At 42.3% G+C, this 20,084-nt stretch overlaps 7 annotated features.

Annotated features, from left to right (window-relative positions):
- Positions 9,710-10,321: an enhancer, noted in NCBI's record as "OCT4-NANOG hESC enhancer chr8:73909312-73909923 (GRCh37/hg19 assembly coordinates)". NCBI's record gives its function as "activates a minimal SCP1, AML or CMV promoter by ChIP-STARR-seq in naive H9 embryonic stem cells {active_cell/tissue: H9 hESC(naive)}" and the evidence as "EXISTENCE:reporter gene assay evidence [ECO:0000049][PMID:30033119]".
- Positions 13,182-13,726: an enhancer, noted in NCBI's record as "NANOG-H3K27ac-H3K4me1 hESC enhancer chr8:73912784-73913328 (GRCh37/hg19 assembly coordinates)". NCBI's record gives its function as "activates a minimal SCP1, AML or CMV promoter by ChIP-STARR-seq in primed H9 embryonic stem cells {active_cell/tissue: H9 hESC(primed)}" and the evidence as "EXISTENCE:reporter gene assay evidence [ECO:0000049][PMID:30033119]".
- Positions 13,727-14,269: an enhancer, noted in NCBI's record as "NANOG-H3K27ac-H3K4me1 hESC enhancer chr8:73913329-73913871 (GRCh37/hg19 assembly coordinates)". NCBI's record gives its function as "activates a minimal SCP1, AML or CMV promoter by ChIP-STARR-seq in primed H9 embryonic stem cells {active_cell/tissue: H9 hESC(primed)}" and the evidence as "EXISTENCE:reporter gene assay evidence [ECO:0000049][PMID:30033119]".
- Positions 14,270-14,813: an enhancer, noted in NCBI's record as "OCT4-NANOG-H3K27ac-H3K4me1 hESC enhancer chr8:73913872-73914415 (GRCh37/hg19 assembly coordinates)". NCBI's record gives its function as "activates a minimal SCP1, AML or CMV promoter by ChIP-STARR-seq in naive and primed H9 embryonic stem cells {active_cell/tissue: H9 hESC(naive and primed)}" and the evidence as "EXISTENCE:reporter gene assay evidence [ECO:0000049][PMID:30033119]".
- Positions 14,814-15,356: an enhancer, noted in NCBI's record as "OCT4-NANOG-H3K27ac-H3K4me1 hESC enhancer chr8:73914416-73914958 (GRCh37/hg19 assembly coordinates)". NCBI's record gives its function as "activates a minimal SCP1, AML or CMV promoter by ChIP-STARR-seq in naive and primed H9 embryonic stem cells {active_cell/tissue: H9 hESC(naive and primed)}" and the evidence as "EXISTENCE:reporter gene assay evidence [ECO:0000049][PMID:30033119]".
- Positions 16,444-16,986: an enhancer, noted in NCBI's record as "H3K27ac hESC enhancer chr8:73916046-73916588 (GRCh37/hg19 assembly coordinates)". NCBI's record gives its function as "activates a minimal SCP1, AML or CMV promoter by ChIP-STARR-seq in naive H9 embryonic stem cells {active_cell/tissue: H9 hESC(naive)}" and the evidence as "EXISTENCE:reporter gene assay evidence [ECO:0000049][PMID:30033119]".
- Positions 16,987-17,529: an enhancer, noted in NCBI's record as "H3K27ac hESC enhancer chr8:73916589-73917131 (GRCh37/hg19 assembly coordinates)". NCBI's record gives its function as "activates a minimal SCP1, AML or CMV promoter by ChIP-STARR-seq in naive H9 embryonic stem cells {active_cell/tissue: H9 hESC(naive)}" and the evidence as "EXISTENCE:reporter gene assay evidence [ECO:0000049][PMID:30033119]".

Raw genomic sequence — 20,084 nt, forward strand, 5'->3', positions numbered from 1 at the left:
TTAAGGTTCCTGTAAGAGAAACTTCACCAGGTGTCTGAGGAAGCTTCATTAGACCTGATGTGAAGGAAATAGAAACTACCTCCCATACCTTTTCCAATAAAGAGGTACAGGCTCATGATATAACAGTTCTGTACAAAGAAATTTTTTCACAAAATCTCCTCTTTTCCATTATCTGGGACTTTTGTGTAATCTTAAAGTAGGTGAGGGAAATTAGAATAGGTTCTTAGCTATTTCCTCTGAAAACCTGAAAACTTAATGGCTATTCGGTCCCTCACTTTAACATTTCATATTTATTATTTTTTGGCAGCACTTCACTTGGAATTTTAACATATGTTTTATATTTAATTAAAGATTACAAACAAAGCTGAAAACCTAGGAGAAGATAGGATTTTAAATAAAAAATTATAGAATGTCTTAATAATTGAAAGCCAAATGTCAATTAAGACAAAACAACCCTGAGTTAATCAGTCAGGAGTAAAAACATTAAACTAACAAAAAGTGGCTTATAAGTAACTTTTTCTGGGAACCAATATGTTGTTAGATCTGTTTAAAACATTTAACAATGTACATTCTACTTGGTTATTTCAAAGTGATCCCTGCTTTAACAATTTCCTATAAAGGTTAGGGAAGGCAAAATAGAAAATGGATCTTGAAGTTCACAGCAAAATTGAAAGTTTTCCCAAAAACTACACAGCTCACAACTGTAGTTAACACGTAAGTCACATCACTAATATTGTCCTGTTCTGTGGATATTCATAACATTGTCTTCTATCCCCTATTAGAAAGGTTTATAAGAGTAAGTGCTAGTTTCTCTGTCACTTACTAGCTTAGTCAAGATATTTAATCTCTCTGAGCTTTAACATTCTCATATGTAATATGGCAAAAACAAAAACCCTACTCAATGAAACAATTCAGGTTAAAAATGGTGGGTGAACGCATTTTTACCTCCTCTCTGCAATGCCTCCGAAATGAAAGTAAATAAGTGATTTAATAAAAAGACAGAGCCCTTGCTAACATAGAGAATAGATGGGGAAATAGCAGTAGATAACAGATGTCTACAGAATTATGGAAAGTAGATGAATCAGGGGTCATTAACTTAGCACATCACGGAAGCGTGAAACTGAAGTCAGGGATGAGGGAATTCTTCTTCAGAACTCTAGAAAACCTAAGAAATTAGACAAACCAGTTACCTCTAAAAGCAGAAATAAAGTGTGAGGTTCAAAGAGATACAGATAGGCTGAGCAAAGTGGCTCATGCCTGTAATCCCAGAACTTTGGGAGGCTAGCTTGAGCCCAGGAATTCAAGATCAGCCTGAGCAACAAAGCAAGACACCCATCTCTCCAAAAATATTTAAAAATTAGCCCGGTGTGGTGACATACACCTGTAGTCGCAACTACTTAGGAGGCTGAAGTGGGAGCTGAGGTGGGAGGATCACTTGAACCTGGGAGATCAAGGCTGTGGTGAGCTGTGATCGTACCACTACACCAATGCCTGGGTGACAGAGCAAGACATTGTCTCAAAAAAAAAAAAAAGTTCAGATAAATTCAGATGCTTTGCCCCCCCAGGTATACAACTGGATTCACCACCACATCCTCAGTTACATAGGCCCAGCTGAAGTAGGGTAGGGCACTGTGCTAAAAACAGAGATTTTGTGTGAAAGTCAATATTCTGAATGTTAAACCCCAGCTCTTTCCCTCAGTTTGGCTCCCAGACCATGGGCATTCTGGCTGAAATTACAGGAAGGGTTCCTCTCCAAAGAAACCATCCAAGTCAAAAAAAAAAAAAAGACCTCTAGATACTAAAAATTGGTAGAGGTTAGGGTTCCAGTGAAATATCTAGGTCTCTCTCAATCATTCTACAGCATGGCCCACAGTAGACCAGCCCCAACAACAACATATACAGCTTCCAACTCACTTTTATTTATTTATTTTTTTTGAGACAGGGTTTTGCTCTTGTTGCCCAGGCTGGAGTGCAATGGTGTGATCTCGGCTCACTGCAACCTCTGCCTCCAGGGTTCAAGAGATTCTCCTGCCTCACCCTCCCAAGTAGCTGGGACTACAGACATGTGCCACCACGCCCAGCTAATTTTTGTATTTTTAGTAGAAACGGGGTTTCACCATGTTGGCCAGGCTTGTCTCGAACTTCGTGACCTCAAGTGATCTGCCAACCTTGGCCTCCCAAAGTGCTGGGATTACAAGTGCGAGCCACCACAACTGGCCCCAACTCACCTCTCAGTGTTCCATTCTCAAATATGGACAAGGGTTGTGAGGTACTTGAGGAAAATATTTAATATTAAAGAAGAAACCAAGACAAGCAAATAACCAAAGAAGTCAGAGGGGAACACTGAAGTAATCAGGCTAGAGACAAACTATATAACACATACTTTGAGAAAGATAAAAAAAGATCTGACATCTGTGAAACAAGAACATTAAGCCACTTTTAAAAAGGAATATTCAGAGGAAAAGAAAGAGCTCTTGGATATTTAAAAAAATAGCTATAAGGATTTCAAAAGAAATGTTTAAATTGAGACTATTTCACAGAAAGTAAAAAGATAAAAAGACAATTTTTCTTTTCTTTCCTTTTATTTATTTATTTATTTATTTTTGAGACAGGGTCATATGATTTGGCTGTGTTCCCATCCAAATTTCATCTTGAATTGTAGTTCCCATAATCCCCATGTGTAGTGGGAGGGACCTGGTGGAAGGTAATTGAATCATGGGGGCAGTTTCTCCCATGCAATTCTCATGATAGTGAGTTCTCACGAGATCTGATGGTTTTATAAGGGGCTTCCTCCTTTGCTTGGCTCTCATTTTTCTCTCTCCTGTGGCCCATGTTAAGAAGGACATGTTTGCTTCCCCGTCTGCCATGATTGTAAGTTCCCTGAGGCCTCCCTAGTCATGATAAACTGGGTCAATTAAACCTTTTTCCTTTATAAATTACCCAGTCTTGGGTATACCTTTATTAACAGCATGAGAGAGAACTAATACAGTAAAGTGGTACTGGGAGTAGTGTGGAGCTGCTGTAAAGATACCCAAAAATGTGGAAGTGACTTTGGAACTGGGTAACAGACAAAGGTTGGAATAGTTTGGAGGACCCAGAAGAAGCCAGGAAAATGTGGGAAAGTTTGGAACTTCCTAGAGGCTTGTTTGATGGCTTTCACCAAAATGCTGATAGTGATATGGACAATGAAGTCCAGGCTATAGGTGGTCTCAGATGGAGATGAGAGACTTGTTGGAAACTGGAGTAAAGGTGACTCTTGCTATGCAAAGAGACTGGCAGCATTTTGTCCCTGCCCTAGAGATCTGTGGAACTTTAAACTTGAGAGAGATGATTTAGGATATCTGGTGGAAGAAATTTCTAAGCAGCAAAGCATTCAAGAGGAAGCAGAGTATAAAAGTTTAGCAAATGTGCAGCCTGTTGATGCCACAGAAAGAAAAACCCATTTTCTGGGGAGAAATTCAAGCCAGCTGCAGAAATTTGCATAAGTAACAAGGAGCCAAATGCTGATGAGACAATGGGGAAAATGTCTCCAGGACATGTCAGAGACCTCAACGCAGCCCCTCCCATCACAGGCCCAGAGGCCTGGGAGGGAAAAATGGTTTCCTGGGCCAGGTTCAGGGCTCCCCTGCTCTGTGCAGCCTGCGGACTTTGTGCCCTGCATCCCAGTCACTCCAGCTCCAGCCGTGGCTAAAAGAGGCCAAAGTACAGCTCAGACCATTGCTTCAGAGGGTGCAAGCCCCAAACCTTGGCAGCTTCCACATGGTGTTGGTCCTGTTTGTGGGCAGAAGACAAGAATTGAGGTCTGGGAACCTTTGCCTAGATTTCAGAGGATGTATGGAAATGTCTGTATGTCCAGGCAGGAGTCTGCTGCACAGGCAGAGCCCTCATGGAGAACCTCTGCTAGGGAAGTACAGAAGGGAAATGTGGGGTTGGAGCTCCCAGAGTCTCCACTGGGGCACTTCCTAGTAGAGCTGTGAGAAGAGGGCCACCATCCTCTAGACCCCAGAATGATAGATCTACCAGTCGCTTGCACTGTGCACCTGGAAAAGTTGCAGACACTCAATGCCAAACTGTGAAAGCAGCCGGGAGTGGGGCTGTACCCTGCAAAGCTATAGGGGTGGAGCTGCCCCAGGCTATGGGAGCCCACCTCTCGCATCAGCATGACTTGGATGTGAGACATGGAGTCAAAGGAGATCATTTTGGAACATTAAGATTTGAGGACTGCCCTATTGAATTTGGACTTCCATGGGGCCTATAACCCCTTTGTTTTGGCCAATTTCTCCCATTTACAATAGGTATGTTTACTCAATGCCTGTACCCCCATTGTATCTAGGAAGTAACTAACTTGCTTTTGATTTTACAGGCTCCTAGGCAGAGGGACTTGCCTTGTCTCAGGTAAGACTTTGGACTTGGACTTTGGACATTAATGCTGGAATGAGCTAAGACTTTGAGGGACTGTTGGAAAGGCACGATTGTGTTTTGAAATGTGAGGACATGAGATTTGGGAGGGGCCAGGGGTGGAATGACATGGTTTGGCTATGTCCCCACGCAAATCTCATCTTGAATTGTAGCTCCCATAATCCCCATATGTGGTGGACCCTTCAATTACCAGTGTGAGGTAATTGAATCATGGGGGCAGTTTCCCCAATACTGATCTTGGGATCATAAGTTCTCATGAGATCTGATGGTTTTTATAAGGCGTTCCACCTTTGCTTGCCTCTCATTCTTCTCTCTTCTGCTGCCATATTAAGAAGGAAGTGTTTGCTTCCCCTTCCACCATGAATGTAAGTTCCCTGAGGTCTCCCCAGCGTGCAGAACTGAGTCAATTAAACCTCCTTCCTTTATAAATTACCCAGTCTCGGGTATTTCTTCATAGCAGCATGAAAATAGACTAATACACAGGGTCTCACTCTATCACTCAGGCTGGAGTGCAGTGGTGTGTTCATGGCTCACTGTAGCCTCAAACTCCTGGGCTCAGGTGATCCTTCCACCTCAGTCTCTCAAGTAGCTAGGATTACAGGCATGCACCACCACACCCAGCTAATTGTTTTTTTGTAGAAATGGGGTCTTGCTGTGTTGCCCAGGCTGGTCTTGAGCTCCTGGCCTCAACAGAGCCTCCTGCCTTGGCTTCCCAAAGCACTGGGATTGTAGCCATGAGCCACCGTGCCCAGTCAAGAGACGATTCTTATGGAAAGAAAGGATTTAAAAAACTGGAATGTTTAGTCAGAGAGCCATTTTATGACTATCAAGAGTTCCAGAATGAGAGAACAGAAAAAAAAGGAGAGAAAGAAATTACCAGAAATAACACAATTTATCAACATATAAGATAGAATAAATAATATAATTTTCCAGATTAAAAATAACCACCAAGGGTCCAGTACAATAAATAAAAATAAAACTACATGAGAGAACAGTATCATGACATTTCAGATGACTAGAGATAAAGGGAAAATTATGAAACCTCCCAGACAGGAAAAAATAGCTTCCAAACAAAGGATTAAAAACTATAAATGTATCAGATCTCTCTATAGTATTCCTGGAAGCTAAAAGACAATGAACAATATCTTCCAGCTACTTCCACTTGTGCATCCTGTACTCAAACTATCATTTCAATGGGAGGGGAGAATTATTGCATTTTTAGGCAAGAATAGCTACCTCCCATATGGAGAGTCAGACCCTGGAGAAAAAGGCACTGTTGGTTGCCTTTTTCTGCCTCAATTCTCCTGCAGGCCAAAGCCTGATATCCACCCCTACATCTCTCACCCCCCAGTATCCACAGCCATATGCTTCAGGAGACTCTGAACTCCCCCAGCTCCAGCTCCAGAGGTAAATCATGATTGGTCTTTTTCTTTTCTTTCTCTTTGTTTTTTAAAGACAGGTCTCACTATGTTGACCAAGCCAGTCTGGAACTCCTGGCTTCAAGCAATCCTCCCACCTTGGCCTCCCAAAGTGCTAGGACTACAGATGGGGGCCACCACACATGGCCTGTGATTACTCTCTAAGTCAGCTTTGGGGATCTCATTCTCTTGAGGTAGAGTTGGCTAAGGCATAAGCATGTGACCCTCTTGTGGTCAATGAGAGGTAGGGGAAGTTGGCTGGGGGTCTCCTGTGAGAATTTCTTTTCAAATTAAAGGTATGTGGCTTAGGTCAGGTTTAACACCAAGATGGGAATTTATGTGCAAATAATTTATCATGGAAGTGGTCCCAGGTGTGACAAGAGAGGAAGTGGAGGAAGCAGGACAGGGAAGGGGAGGAGACCAAGCAAAGGTGACTCTCACTGATTCCACAGAACTCTGGAAGTGTACATTTCACCACAGAGCTGTCCCATGAAGGCAAGGGAGCTAGACTTCATACTCCTGCCCCACCGGTCATTGGTCAGGGGCCTCCCAGGGAGAAGACAATGCCCAAGCACATCTTCTGTGCTCTTGCTGGTGATTTGCCAGCGTCTCTCGGGCCTTTGGCCACAAAGGTTGTATTTTTGGCTTCCTATTTTGAGGTTTTGGGACTCAGACAAGTTTCCTTGCTCCTCAGCTTGCAGACAGCCTATTGTGGGACTTCATCTTGCGATTGTGTGAGTCAATACTCCTTAATAAACCCCCCTTCATATATACTTCATATATATATAACTGATCTATCCTATTAGTTCTGTCCCTCTAGAGAAAGCTAACTAATACAGCGCTCCTATGAGAATCTAATGCCACACTGATCTGACAGGGGGAGCTCAGGCGGTAATGCAAGTGATGGGGAGTGGCTGTAAATACAGATGAAGCTTTGCTCACTCACCTGCCGTCCACCTCCTGCTGTGCGGGCCCCATTCCTAATAGGCCACAGACCAGTACTAGTCCACGGCCTGGGGGTTGGGGATGCCTGCTCTACAGGATGCAAGAGGAATTCTCTCTGGCCAATCTTCTTATACGATGAAGGGGAGCATTCAAAAAGAAGGCAGGGATGCACTGAGTGGGGGAGAGTGGACAGATGAAAAGAACCTGGGCCTTTGATGATGTTGCTGAGCCAATGATTGACCTACATTGGCAGTGACCCACACCCAGCCTTCTTGTTATATGATATAATACATTCTCCTTGTGATTTGAACTATTGTAAATGAGGTTTTCTGCTATTTTCAACCAAAATCATGCTAAATGATCCAAGGAGAGAGGTAAATTATCTATGATAGAAAAGAGAATATTTGTAAGTAAAAATAAAAGCAGCCCTGATGCAGAGTGAGCATTGAAAGGACCCTTCTGGGAGGCAAAGGAGAATACTAGTGGGAGCGTGGGGTGCCAGTGGGTACCACCTTTGCCTTTTCCACCAAGGCATCCTCTGAAAGGGTGGCTCCATGCTCCTCACCTCCCTCTGATAGACTTAGTTCCAAAAGATTCCACATTGGTGCTCTGTGGAGAACAAATAGAGAAAACTTACATTTTGAAATCAGCAGAAATTTTTAAGGCCAGAAAAGCAAACATAATATGCCGCAGTCACAAATGTTACTTGTATTTGCACAGTTGCTTTCAAACCAGCTTCAGGGATCTCAGGCCTCCACCCCATTTTGTGTTTAGCCCTTTGGCATATTGGGGTTACATGTGAACTTGTAAGAACGAATTTTATAGATTAAAGAAAAAGAAGGATTGAAAAATCTTTGCATTATACCACGTAGTCTATTGTTTAACGAAATATTTCATTGCATGGTGACCTCTACTGGCAGAATAAATGCATCACCAGGGCTGACAAAGACAATTTAGTCTGTTTAGTCAAGGAATTGGCTAATATGGAAAGACAATGCTAGCCAAATATGTTGCTTAGAATTGTTAAGGCCCAGTTGTACTCTCAATATGTTTATTTTCAAAAAGATTTTATAAAATATCTCAAACATATGAGATATAGAGGATAATATAATCAATACATACTTGCCACCTAAACTTAACAAGTCTTAACATTTTTTCTTCTTTATCCAGAGTTTTAAAATTAATTATTTATTTATTTTAGAGACAGGGTCTCATTCTGTCACCCAGGCTGGACTGCAGTGGTGTGATCATAACCCACTGTAACCCAGAACTCCTGAGGTCAACCAATCCTCCTGCCTCAGCCTCCCAAGTAGGTAGGACCAACATCTTTTTTATGTTTTATTTATTTATTTATTTTGAGATGGAGTCTCACTTTGTCCCCCAGGCTGGAGTGCAGTGGCGCGATCTCTGCTCACTGCAACTTCCACCTCCCAGGTTCAAGGGATTTTCCTGTCTCAGCCTCCCAAGTAGCTGGGACTACAGGCACCTGCAACCACTACCAGCTAATTGTTGTATTTTTAGTAGAAACAGGGTTTCACCATACTGGCCAGGCTGGTCCCAAACTCCTGACCTTGTGATCTGCCCACCTTGGCCTCTCAAAGTGCTGGTATTACAGGCGTGAGCCACCGCGCCCGGCCTCCAACATCTTTTTTAAAAAGTAAGACAGTTACACACATGTGAAGCCCCTATACCCTGACTTCCTGAAAATAGCCCCTTTATCACCTCTCCAGAGAGCATTGCTTAGCTGGGTGGGGTGGCTCACAACTGTAATCCCAGCACTTTGGGAGGCTGAGGCAGGAGGATCACTTGAGCCCAGGAATTCAAGACCAACCTGGGCAACATAGTAAGAAATCGTCTCTACAAAATAATAATAATAATAATTAGCTGGGCATAGTGGTGTGCATCTATAGTCCCAGCTGCTTGGGAGGCTGAGACAGGAGGATTACTTGAGCCCAGGAGGTGGAGACTGCAATGAGCTATGATCATATCACTGCACTCCAGCCTGGGAAACAGAGCAAGACCCTGTCTCAAAAAAAAAAAAAAAAAAAAGCAGGCAGCACTGCTTGGTGTACATCTTTCCCCTGAATCTTTTCATACTTCTCCTTCATATGTATTCATACAGAATATAGGATATTGTGTTAAAAGCTTTAAGTTTTTAAATAAATGGAATAACATATATATAATTACAAATTTTACAATTTTTTGCTGGTTGAATTGGCCCATTATTGAGATCATGTTCCCCTTCCCCAGGGCAAAAAACAAAACCCTGAGATTTAAACTGATGGGGAGGGCTGGGCCTGTTGGCTCACACCTGTAATCCCAGTCCTTTGGGAGTCAGAACGGGGAGGATTGCTTGAGTCTAGTTCAAGACCAGCATAGGCAACATGACGAGACCCTGTCTCTTAAAATAAATAAATAATAAACTGATAGGGAAAATATGTCCCTTCATAATAGAGGTATGGCCCGGGTGCAGTGGCTCATGCCTGTAATCCCAACACTTTGGGAGGCGGAGGCAGGCAGATCACTTGAGGTCAGGAGTTCGAGACCAGCCTGGTCAACATGGTGAAACTCTGTCTCTACTTAAAAAAAATACAAAAATTAGCCAGGCATGATGGCAGGTGCCTGTAGTCTCATCTACTCAGGGGGCTGAGGCAGAAGAATCACTTGAATCTGGGAGGTGGAAGTTGCAGTGAGCGGAGATCGCCAAGATCGTGCCACTGCACTCTAGCTTGGGTGACAGAGTGAGACTCTGTCTCAAAAAAAACAAAACAAAACAAACAAACAAACAAACAAAACACACACACACAAATCATAATAGAGGTAGGTAAGATAAAGTTGTCAAAAGAGATCAGGTACAAAAATGTTTGAAAACCAGGACAATGGAGAAAACTAGCAGTAGCTGATATTATTGAGCACTTATAAGTGCTTTCTTTAAATCATTGAATCCTCACAGCAACTCTATGCAATATCTTCTATCATGACCTCCCTTTTACAAAGAAGGAAACCAAGGCAAAGAGGTTGCTAGCTTGTCTAAGGTCACATATCTGAGTAGCGGGACCTGCAGTCACTCCCTGCTCTGAATGCGATATGATATGTAGATGAAGCCCCGTGAAGAATTCTAAGCACCACAAGAAGCACCCCTATAAACCAATCACTTGCTGCTGCTGATGCACTTGAACTCCACAATGCCCCTTCCTCGTGGCTTTCTAAGACCCCCAGCCAGGTTCACAACGGGGCTGAGAGTGGTCCTCTTGTCTCTTTTCAGAGATTTAACTGGCCAGAACTTGAGCATCCTCTTACATGCAAAACTTCATTGTCCCTTGGCATCAGAAGCTATTAATAAGATTTGCTCCTGATTCCAACAACTGTGACCTGAGACAAGTTAAAAATATTTTTTCTGGATCGTGAACCTTCTCTAAAATAAGACAAAATATTATCCTTTTCCATCTGAAATAATCCTGTTGTGACGAAGAATAATTTATCATGCTGTGTGTGACATCCTAAGTCATTAAATGGGAGGATCTGGCAGCCCTGCTTCATACACCCACGCACTTATCTACAAAAGTTGATATGCAAGAGAGCTTCTGGCTTTAAGTATTTAGCAGAAAGAGGAGATGGATCTCCAGCCGTAAGGAACAGAGACGAGGAACATGAACTCTGGCTAATGTCTACTCCCCTTGGGGAGGCCTTATTGGGAGAAAAGAGAATAATGTGTGTCAGGCCTCTGAGCCCAAGCTAAGCCATCATATCCCCTGTGACCTGCACGTATACATCCAGATGGCCTGTTCCTTGCCTTAACTGATGACATTCCACCACAAAAGAAGCGAAAATGGCCGGTCCTTGCCTTAACTGATGACATTCCACCACAAAAGAAGTGAAAATGGCCAGTCCTTGCCTTAAGTGATGACATTATCTTGTGAAGTTCCTTCTCCTGGCTCATCCTAGCTCAAAAGCTCCCCTACTGAGCACCTTGTGACCCCCACTCCTGCCCACCAGAGAACAACACCCCTTTGACTGTAATTTTCCTTTACCTACCCAAATCTTATAAAACGGCCCTACCCTATCTGCCTTCGCTGACTCTCTTTTTGGACTCAGCCCGCCTGCACCCAGGTGATTAAAAACCTTTATTGATCACACAAAGCCTGTTTGGTGGTCTCTTCACACAGACGTGAGTGAAAATGTGGAATCTGAGTGTCTGGTTTCAAGTTGTGTGTCCCTAACTTGCTAACTAGCTTTCTCACTTTCCAACCTCAGGTGATTTAATAACCCTCTCTGTGCTGCAGGTTCATCCTTTACAAAATTATAAGATAATAGTAATATCTACCTGATAAACTTGCTATGAAGATTAAATGAGTTAATACATATGGTACAGTTAGAAAGTTGCTGTCACCTGGCCGGGCGCGGTGGCTCACGCCTGTAATCCCGGCACTTTGGGAGGCCAAGGTGGGAGGATCACCTGAGGTTGGGAGTTTGAGACCAGCCTGACCAACATGGAGAAAACCCATCTTTACTAAGAATACAAAATTAGCTAGGCGTGGTGGCACATGCCTGTAATCCCAGCTACTTGGGAGCCTAAGGCAGGAGAATCCCTTGAACCCGGGAGGTGAAGGTTGTGGTGAGCCGAGATCACGCCATTGCACTCCAGCCTGGGCAACAAGAGTGAAACTCTGTCTCAAAAAAAAAAAAAAAAAAAAAAAAGAGAGAGAGAGAGAAAGTTGCTGGCAACTATTATACATGCAATAAATGCTAAGTATGCAGTATGGTCTGAATTGTGGTGTCACCCTCAAATTCATATGTTGGAACAGAATATCCAGCATGATATATTAAGAGTTAGGGCAGGCTGGGTGCTGTGGCTCACGCCTGTAATCCCAGCACTTTGGGAGGCCAAGGCAGGTGGATCACGAGGTCAGGAGATCAAGACAATCCTGGCTAACACGGTGAAACCCCATCTCTACTAAAAATACAAACAAATCAGCCGGGTGTGGTGGTGGGCACCTGTAGTCCCAGCTACTCGGGAGGCTGAGGCAGGAGAATGGCATGAACCTGAGAGGCAGAGCTTGCAGTGATCTGAGATTATGCCACTGCACTCCAGCCTGGGCAACAGAGCAAGACTCTGTCTCCAAAAAAAAAAGAGTTAGAGCCTTTTGGGAACTGATTAAGTCATGAGAACATCACCCTTGTATATGGAATTAGTGTCCTTATAAAAGAGGTTGGGCTGGGTACAGTGGCTCATTTCTATAATCCCAGCAATTGGGGAGGCTGAGGAAGTAGGGTCACTCGAGCCCAGGAGTTTGTGACCAGCCTAGGAAACATAGCAAGACCCTGGTCTATTCAAAAAAAGAAAAAAAAAAAAAGTCGAAGGGAACTCCTGCCTTGCCCCTTCTGCCAATTAAAAACACAAAAAGAAAATACCATCTTCGAAAAACAGAACAGGCTGTCACCAACACCTCAACAATCAGTGCCTTGATCTTAGACTTTCCAGCCTCCAGAACTTTGAGCAATACATTTTTATTGTTTATAAATGTCCCAGTCTGTGGCATTTTGTTATAGCAGCTCAATTAGACTAAAACAGTGTGGTTGATATGATCATTATCATTATCATCATTAGTATCTGTCTCAGAGGACTTGGTCTGCCCTCCTATTGGGAAAGGGGGCAAAGATAGAAACTGAAGGTTCTGTTTTTTGTGGATAAACAGCAAATCTGAGAGTACTATTGAGTTCTTAATAGCTGATGTTTTCAAATCTATAAGGAATTTCATTGATAAAAATGTTTTCTACTCTTTGAGTATCAATTTTCTTCTAGCCATGTCTAAGAAAAATGTAACAGATTCATTCAATATCAACTGAATGTCCACCACATGATAAGCAGTTTTCTAGCCATGGGGATACGGTAGTAGACAACACAGACAAAAATGCCTTCCTTAGCGTATCTTGTTTTTTAATGAGACTGACAAAGAGAAAACTAAAATACCATCAGTTAGTGAAACATGCTATGTAGAGTACTGCAGATAGAAAATATTTAAATAGTCAAAGAAAGTATCTCTGAAGAAAGGTGACATTTGAATGAAATGGGTTGGCAGGGAGCAATACAAATATTGGAGAAAACAATCAAGTCAAAGCAAGTGCAACGACCCTGGAACAGGAACAAGCTTAACCTATTTGAGGAATAGCAAGAAGGCCAGAATGGCTATAGCAGTGGTGGCAACAGACAGAATTTTTAATAGATATGGTTAAAAACTAGGTAGGGAAAATATCACGTAAGGCCCTGTAGTCTTTAATAAAGAGTTTGGGTTTTATTCTAAAAATGATCACATATCATGGTAGGTTTTGAGGAGGCGAATGACAAGTTGTGATTTACATTTTAGAAAGGCCATTCAGATTATTGTGCAAAAAATCGCTGGGTGCAGTGGCTCATGCCTATAATCCTAGCACTTTGGGAGGCCAAGGTGGATGGATCACCTGAGGTCAGGAGTTCGAGACCAGCCTGGCCAACATGGTGAAACCCCCATCTCTACTAAAAATACAAAAATTAGCCAGGTGTGGTGGCAGGTGCCTGTAATCCCAGCTACTTGGGAGGCTGAGGCAGGAGAATTGCTTGAACCCAAGAGGTAGAGGTTGTAGTGAGCCGAGACTGTGCCACTGCACTCCAGCCTGGGTGACAGAGCAAGACTCTGGCTCAAAAAAAAAAAAAAAAAAAAAAAAAAAAAGACCATGTCAGGGCAAGAGTGGAAGCAAGGAGAGCTATTGTGAGGCTACTATGTGGGCCATATGAGACATGAGGGTCACTTGGCTGAGGGTGGAGATGCAGATCATGGTAAATAGTCAGATTATGGATCTATTTTGAAGGTAGAGCTGACCAAAGCTGTTGAAGGACTAGATCTGATGTGTGAAATAAAAAAAGGAATCAAAGATGAAATTTGTGTCTTTGGCCCAATTAATTGGCTAAGTGAATGGCAGTGCCATTGACTGTGATGGGAAAGATGAGGTAAGGTCTAGTTCAGTGGTGTCCAATCATTTTGCTTCCCTGGGCCACATTGGAAGAAGAATTGTCTTGGGCCACACATAAAATACAGTAACACTAACAATAGCTGATGAGCTTTAAAAAACACAAAATAATCTCATATGTTTTAATAAGGTTTATGAATTTGTTGGGCCGCACTCAAAGCTGTCCTGGGCTGCATGCCACCCACAGGCCATGAGTTGGACAAGCGTGGTCTAGTTTGATGGGGTATGGGTTATATTTGGACTTGTCAATTTAGATGCACAAAAATCCAAGCAGTGATGTGGGGGTGCTCAGCAGAAATTTTAGAGAGGGAGGTTTATGTTTGGGTCTCAACAGGATCTAGATGATATTAAACAGAGAGAATAGATAAGATCAACTAGGGAATGAAGTTCAAAGGCTGAGGTTAAGGACACTACAACATTTAGAGTTTAGCAAGAAGAGATATAGTCAGCAAGGAATACTAAGAAGTGGCTAGTGAGGTGTGAAGAATACCAGCAAAGGATGTTATCCTGTAAGTCAAATAAAGAAAACGCATCCAGGAGGAGGGCATGATCAAATGGGTCAAGTGATCTGAGTCTTCTATAATCTTTAGATATCATGGAATAAACTTAATAACTGTTAGCTGCATATATTTGCCTGGTAGTTTACAGCAGCATTTCTCAAATTGTGTTTGTTGCTATTGAAGGAAATCAAAATATTTTACCCCAAAATATATTTCTTTGACATATTTTGAAATGGCTGCCACCTGGCCAGCAAATAGAAGTGGCCTTGCAAAGCTGTCTTTTGTGGGGAAAATATGCATCTGTAGAGAATTTCCATTAATGCCGCCATGCCCCCTCCCCTTTCTATGCCTTTCTTGAATCCAGGAGAGGCTGAGTGTTTGACCGTTTTAAAAGTCTGAAAAGAAACATTTACCATCTATTCTCTCCAAGGGAGGTTTCATTTACATAACAAGGCCACCTTTGCTAGCCAAGATTGTTACTTTCTCCCTCATCACCTGCTGATTTATCAACATAACCTGTTTCTGGCCACCCTCTGAGTCTGTATTCTTTACTGTGGCTCAGGATGTTGGGTCTTCATTCTTAAGGCTCCCATGTACACACATTAAATAAATTTGTATGCCTTTTCTTCTGTTAATCAGTCTGCCTTACATTAGTGATTTTTCAGTGAAGCTTTCAGTGGTCAAGAACCTATGGTTCCCGGAGTACGATAATTATATAGGATGTTCTGCAAAAAAAGGAGTGCAGTGATCAATTATGGGACATGTTTCACTCAGAAATTCATGATCCACATTAGTGTATTTAAAGCTCTGAGAAGTCCATAGAAAAGAAAACTTCTACCTTTTAAAAACAGGAATCCCCCAAATTGTTTTTTCTTAAAAATCAGATTGAGGATAACCTACAAGCAGGAAAATCCAACCATTTTAGGGGTACAATTCTGAGTTTTTACACAATCACATAACCACCCCTGCAATCCCAATTGTTTTTAAGTCACAAATCATGCCATCTATCAATGGCTCTAGTTCCACTTTAAAAATGACTGTTGCCAGTTTACAGAGCACTTTCGGATGTATTTTTCCATTTAACTCTGATGTCAATCCTCTGAGTTTGGAACCATTATTTCCAATGAGACAGATAAAGAAAGAGGCATAGAGAGGTAAAGAATCATCCCCACAATCACACAAAGCTACTCAGTGAAAGAGGTAGATTAAATGCAAACATTCAGATGAGTTAGATTTTCACTTGGTATAGTGGAAAGATAACACTGGATAAGACTATCAACAACCACAACTATTCATTGAGTCCTTCAACCACCAAACACCTCTTTAAAGTAGGTGTTGTTATTCTTACCTTACAAATAAGAACATAGGAGTAAAGTGTCTAATCGATTTGCTCAAGGGTAAAGAGAAATTGGTGGAGAAAGAATTCAAACCTAGGCTGGGCACGGTGGCTCATGCCTGTAATCCTAGCACTTTGGGAGGCTGAGGCAGGAGGATCACTTGAGGTCAGGAGTTCGAGACCAGCATGGTCAACACGGTGAAACCCTGTCTCTACTAAAAATACAAAAATTAGCCCGGCGTGGTGGGGGCCCCTATAATCCCAGCTACTTGGGAGGCCAAGGCAGAAGAATCAGTTGAACCGGGAGGTGGAGTTTGCAGTGAGCCAAGATGGTGCCACTGCACTCCAATCTGGGCAACAGAACAAGACTAATCAAGAAAGAAAAGAAAACAAAAGAAAAAAAGAGAAGAGAAAAGAAGAAAGAGAGAGGGAGGGAGAGAGGGAGGGAGACGGGGAAGGAAAGGAGGGAGGGAGGGAGGAAGGAGGGAAAGAAAGAGAGAAAGAAAGAAAGAAAAGAAAAAAGAAAGAAAGAGAAAGCGAGAAAGAAAGAAAGAAAAATTCATATCTAGAACTCTGACTCCAGAGCCTGAAATCCTAACTGCATGGGATTGTGCTGTCCAGTATGATAGCTACCAGTCATACTTGGCTATTTGAGCACCTGAAATGTGGCTACTCCAAACTGAGATGTGTGTAAGTGTAAGATACACACAGGATTTTGAAAACTGTTTTTTTAAGTAAAATATCCAAGTTTTAAAATTACATGTTGAAATAATAGTTGGAATATATTTATAAGATTAAAATTAACTTCACCTGTTTCTTTCTATGCTTTTTAATGTGGCTCCTAGAAAATTAAAAATTACATATATGTGGTTCGTATGCTGCTTCAAAAAGTAGAGGCTGTTCATGGTTTTCTTTCTTAGGGCTGTCAAGGTCAAGGCGCTTCCTGTTATTTCTCTATTCAAGGGTAGAAAACATCACCAGGGTACGTTGTTTTATTGGGCATTGGTTTATTTCTAGGGGGTGGAAACGGGATTCTTCCCCTAGGTCCCCAGCTGTTTGTAGTCATATTCTTTTACTCACACACAATTTTATTGCTTTTGCTTTTGGGAGATGTGTTTTATTAAAAATAGTGGCTAATCAGGGACTTGTTAACGGCATACACTAGAAGGTTTTTTGTCTGTTTTTTGTTTTTTTGAGACGGAGTTTCACTCTGGTTGCCCAGGCTGGAGTGCAATGGTGCAATCTCGGCTCACCTCAACCTCCGCCTCCTGGGTTCAAGCGATTCTCCTGCCTCAGCCTCCCGGGTAGCTGGGATTACAGACATGCGCCACCACGCCTGGCTAATTTTGTATTTTTAGTAAAGACAGAGTTTCTCCATGTTGGTCAGGCTGGTCTCGAACTCCCGACCTCAGGCGATCCGCCCGCCTTGGCCTCTCAAACCGCTGGGATTACAGGCATGAGCTACCGCACTCTGCCTTGTTTTTTTTTTTTTTTTTTTTTAACAAAACGATCAAACAAACTGACCATGGAAAGTCAGTCCTGGGTTCCAGTTTTCAACTAACTGCATTTTCTTGCAGAGTGAGCCCGCACCATCACAGTGCCTGTATTCTGTATTCTGTCAGACCCAGGCTACACACGGATCCTGTAATGCATAAAACAACTTAAAAAAGTCTCAAGAGGCTACAAAGATCTTTTAAATACGTTAAAAGCTCTAAACGATTAGAACTGCCTAAGATAATGTTTCTCTTCCTGAAACCTGCTTTGCTTTAAACTCAAAACATTCCTTCAGTCCTTGAGCATTACCTTATTGATTCTGAAAAGGGAGGAAGTCTTCATGAGTAGGAGTGTGCTTCTTTATCATTATTATATACTATGTCCACTACCTCGAAATGGAGTGGTTCATTTTATTTGTATGGTTTGGTAGCTAGCGACCCTGGTTCTATACTGGAATCGCCTAGAGATACTTTGAAAAACACATATGCTTGAGCCTTGCCCTTAGAAATTCTGATTTAGTGAATACAAAGTATAACTCAGCCAACTGAGAACATACGACGTGCGGTCGGGGTTGAGAACTATTTATGAGGATAGCGAAACTAGTGTTTTAGGCCCTGTAAAATTTACTTTAAAAAAAAATCAGTTCATACCCAGGTACTTCCCCTCCGCATCTCTGTTCAAACCTTTTTAATGAAATCCCACTGGCTTAGACACTCTCCCTATGAAACCGCCTTTGCAAAAATCATAACTGAGAAATTACAGTGAAAGAGGTCTGACCTAACCGATACTACCTTTCTTCTAACATTCAAGCTGTCCATTCCTAGGTGTAGGCCAAACTAACTTTGGGAGGAACTTAGTTTATAGTTTAGCTTGGAAACAAAGAATATAACGGTGCTTTCCCCCAAACAAACCCCCTTCCTGCCTGGGGACTAGACTGCCTTTGCAGGACTAACAAATTAGCTACAAGATTAGAAGTTATGGTTTAGCAGTCATGAAACTGGAGGCTGCAAGATTGTAAACCTCCCCAAATGGCTCCTGGGAATAAAATCACTATTGTAAAACCTAAGATCAGTGCTTGAGATATTTTGCAGACCCTGCACTCAATGCATCAGCTGGCACCACCCAGATCAATAAACAGGCTCATCTAGTCTTGTGGCCTCCACCCAGAAAGTGACTCAGTGCAAGAGGACAGTTTTGACTCCTTACGATTTCATCTCTGACCCGACCAATTATCACTCCTGACTCAGTGGTCCCCTACCCACCAAATTATCCTTAAAAACACCAATCCTCGAGTTTTCGGGGAGATTGATTTGAGTAATAATAAAACTCTGGTCTCCCACACAGCCGGGTCTGCATGAATTACTCTTTCTCTATTGCGATTCCCCTGTCTTGATAAATCAGCCTGTCTAGGCAGTGAGCAAGGTGAACCCGTTGGGTGGTTGCACCCCCACCAAACTCCTATTAAGGTTACTGTTAGCATCACTCATTAGTCTGATGTTTATGTACAATGTGTGTGTGTGTTGCTTGTCTTACCAACTGGTCTATAATTCTTTATGGAGAGGAGTAGTATCTTTATATTTACCATGCACCATCCTAGCGCAGTACATTTCACATAATAGGTACTCAATAAAGGATGTTTCAAAAGTACATATGTAGTTTGGATATTCACGAGACATTTATAAATGCAAAAATAAAGCAATGTATATAATTCATAATGAGACCATTAGCTTATATTAGCAATGGGATAGACTAAAATATGGGTTAAAACACAATTATTTAATATGGTAGACATAAGAATTTAGGAAACTTATAGATTTCAAAGTGTTGTTTAGGAAATAGTCCAAATCAAAAACAGTCTTGGGAAATGCAACAGCATGGGGAATGTCATCTAGGCTTTATGGGAATCTTTCCACAGTATCTCTGACTACTGGCATCCAGAATCATAGATGTATACTTACCTGGCAGGGGAGATACCATGATCACAGGATCATTAATGATTCCAGTGGTGAGAAATCAGTACCTGGCAGTAGAAATCGGCACTTTATTGTGGGAAAGCCTGAATGGTTAGGAACCATGTGGGATATGAAGTCAAATCTGCCACCCCAAACCTTCAAACTTTGGTTTCAGGTTGTGCTCTTAGGATCATCACAAAACAGATTGAATCTCTCCCCTCATAACAGTCCCATTAAATGAGGTAAAGTCAACTATACTTGCGAGTCTTACTCCATGAACTCATGCAAGAAACATAATTTTACTCAAGGGATGATTTTTAAATCACCAAAATCACACAGGATTCTCTTTCCTAACCCACTCCAGCACAAAGGCACTACCTCCCAATACCATCCCATTGGGGGTTAGGGCTTCGGCATGTAAATCTGGGGAGAAAACAAATATGCAGTCCATAATACTAGGTTCATAATGTGCTGTAACCCTTATTCCCTTAGCCTCTATCCCCATTCCACTGTATTATTTCAAAACAGACCTTACTTCCCATGGGACAATTAGAGCCTGAAGAAGAGATCTCTTCTGATGCATCATCATTTTTCCTGGCAGCACAAATATTCTGCTCTTCCTGCTAATACTAATTGAGCACTTACTATTTCCCTGGCTTTTTTTTTTTTTTTTTTCGGTAGAGATGAGATCTCACTATGTTGCCCAGGCTGGCCTCAAACTCCTGGGCTCCAGTAATCCTCCCACCTTGGCATCCCAAAGTGCTGGGATTACAAAGTGAGCCACTGTGCCTGGTGAGGTTTCGTTTTAAACTCTTTTTTTTTTTTTTTTTGAGACGGAGTTTCGCTCTTGTTGCCCAGGCTGGAGTGCAGTGGCCCGATCTCGGCTCACCGCAATCTCCGCCTCCCGGGTTCAAGCAATTATCCTGCCTCAGCCTCCCGAGTAGCTGGGATCACAGGCATGCACCACCACACCCGCCTAATTTTGTATTTTTAGTAGAGACGAGGTTTCTCCATG

The sequence above is a fragment of the Homo sapiens genome, chromosome 8 (genome assembly GCF_000001405.40).
Source record: "Homo sapiens chromosome 8, GRCh38.p14 Primary Assembly".
In the NCBI taxonomy this organism is placed as follows: Eukaryota; Metazoa; Chordata; class Mammalia; order Primates; family Hominidae; genus Homo; species Homo sapiens.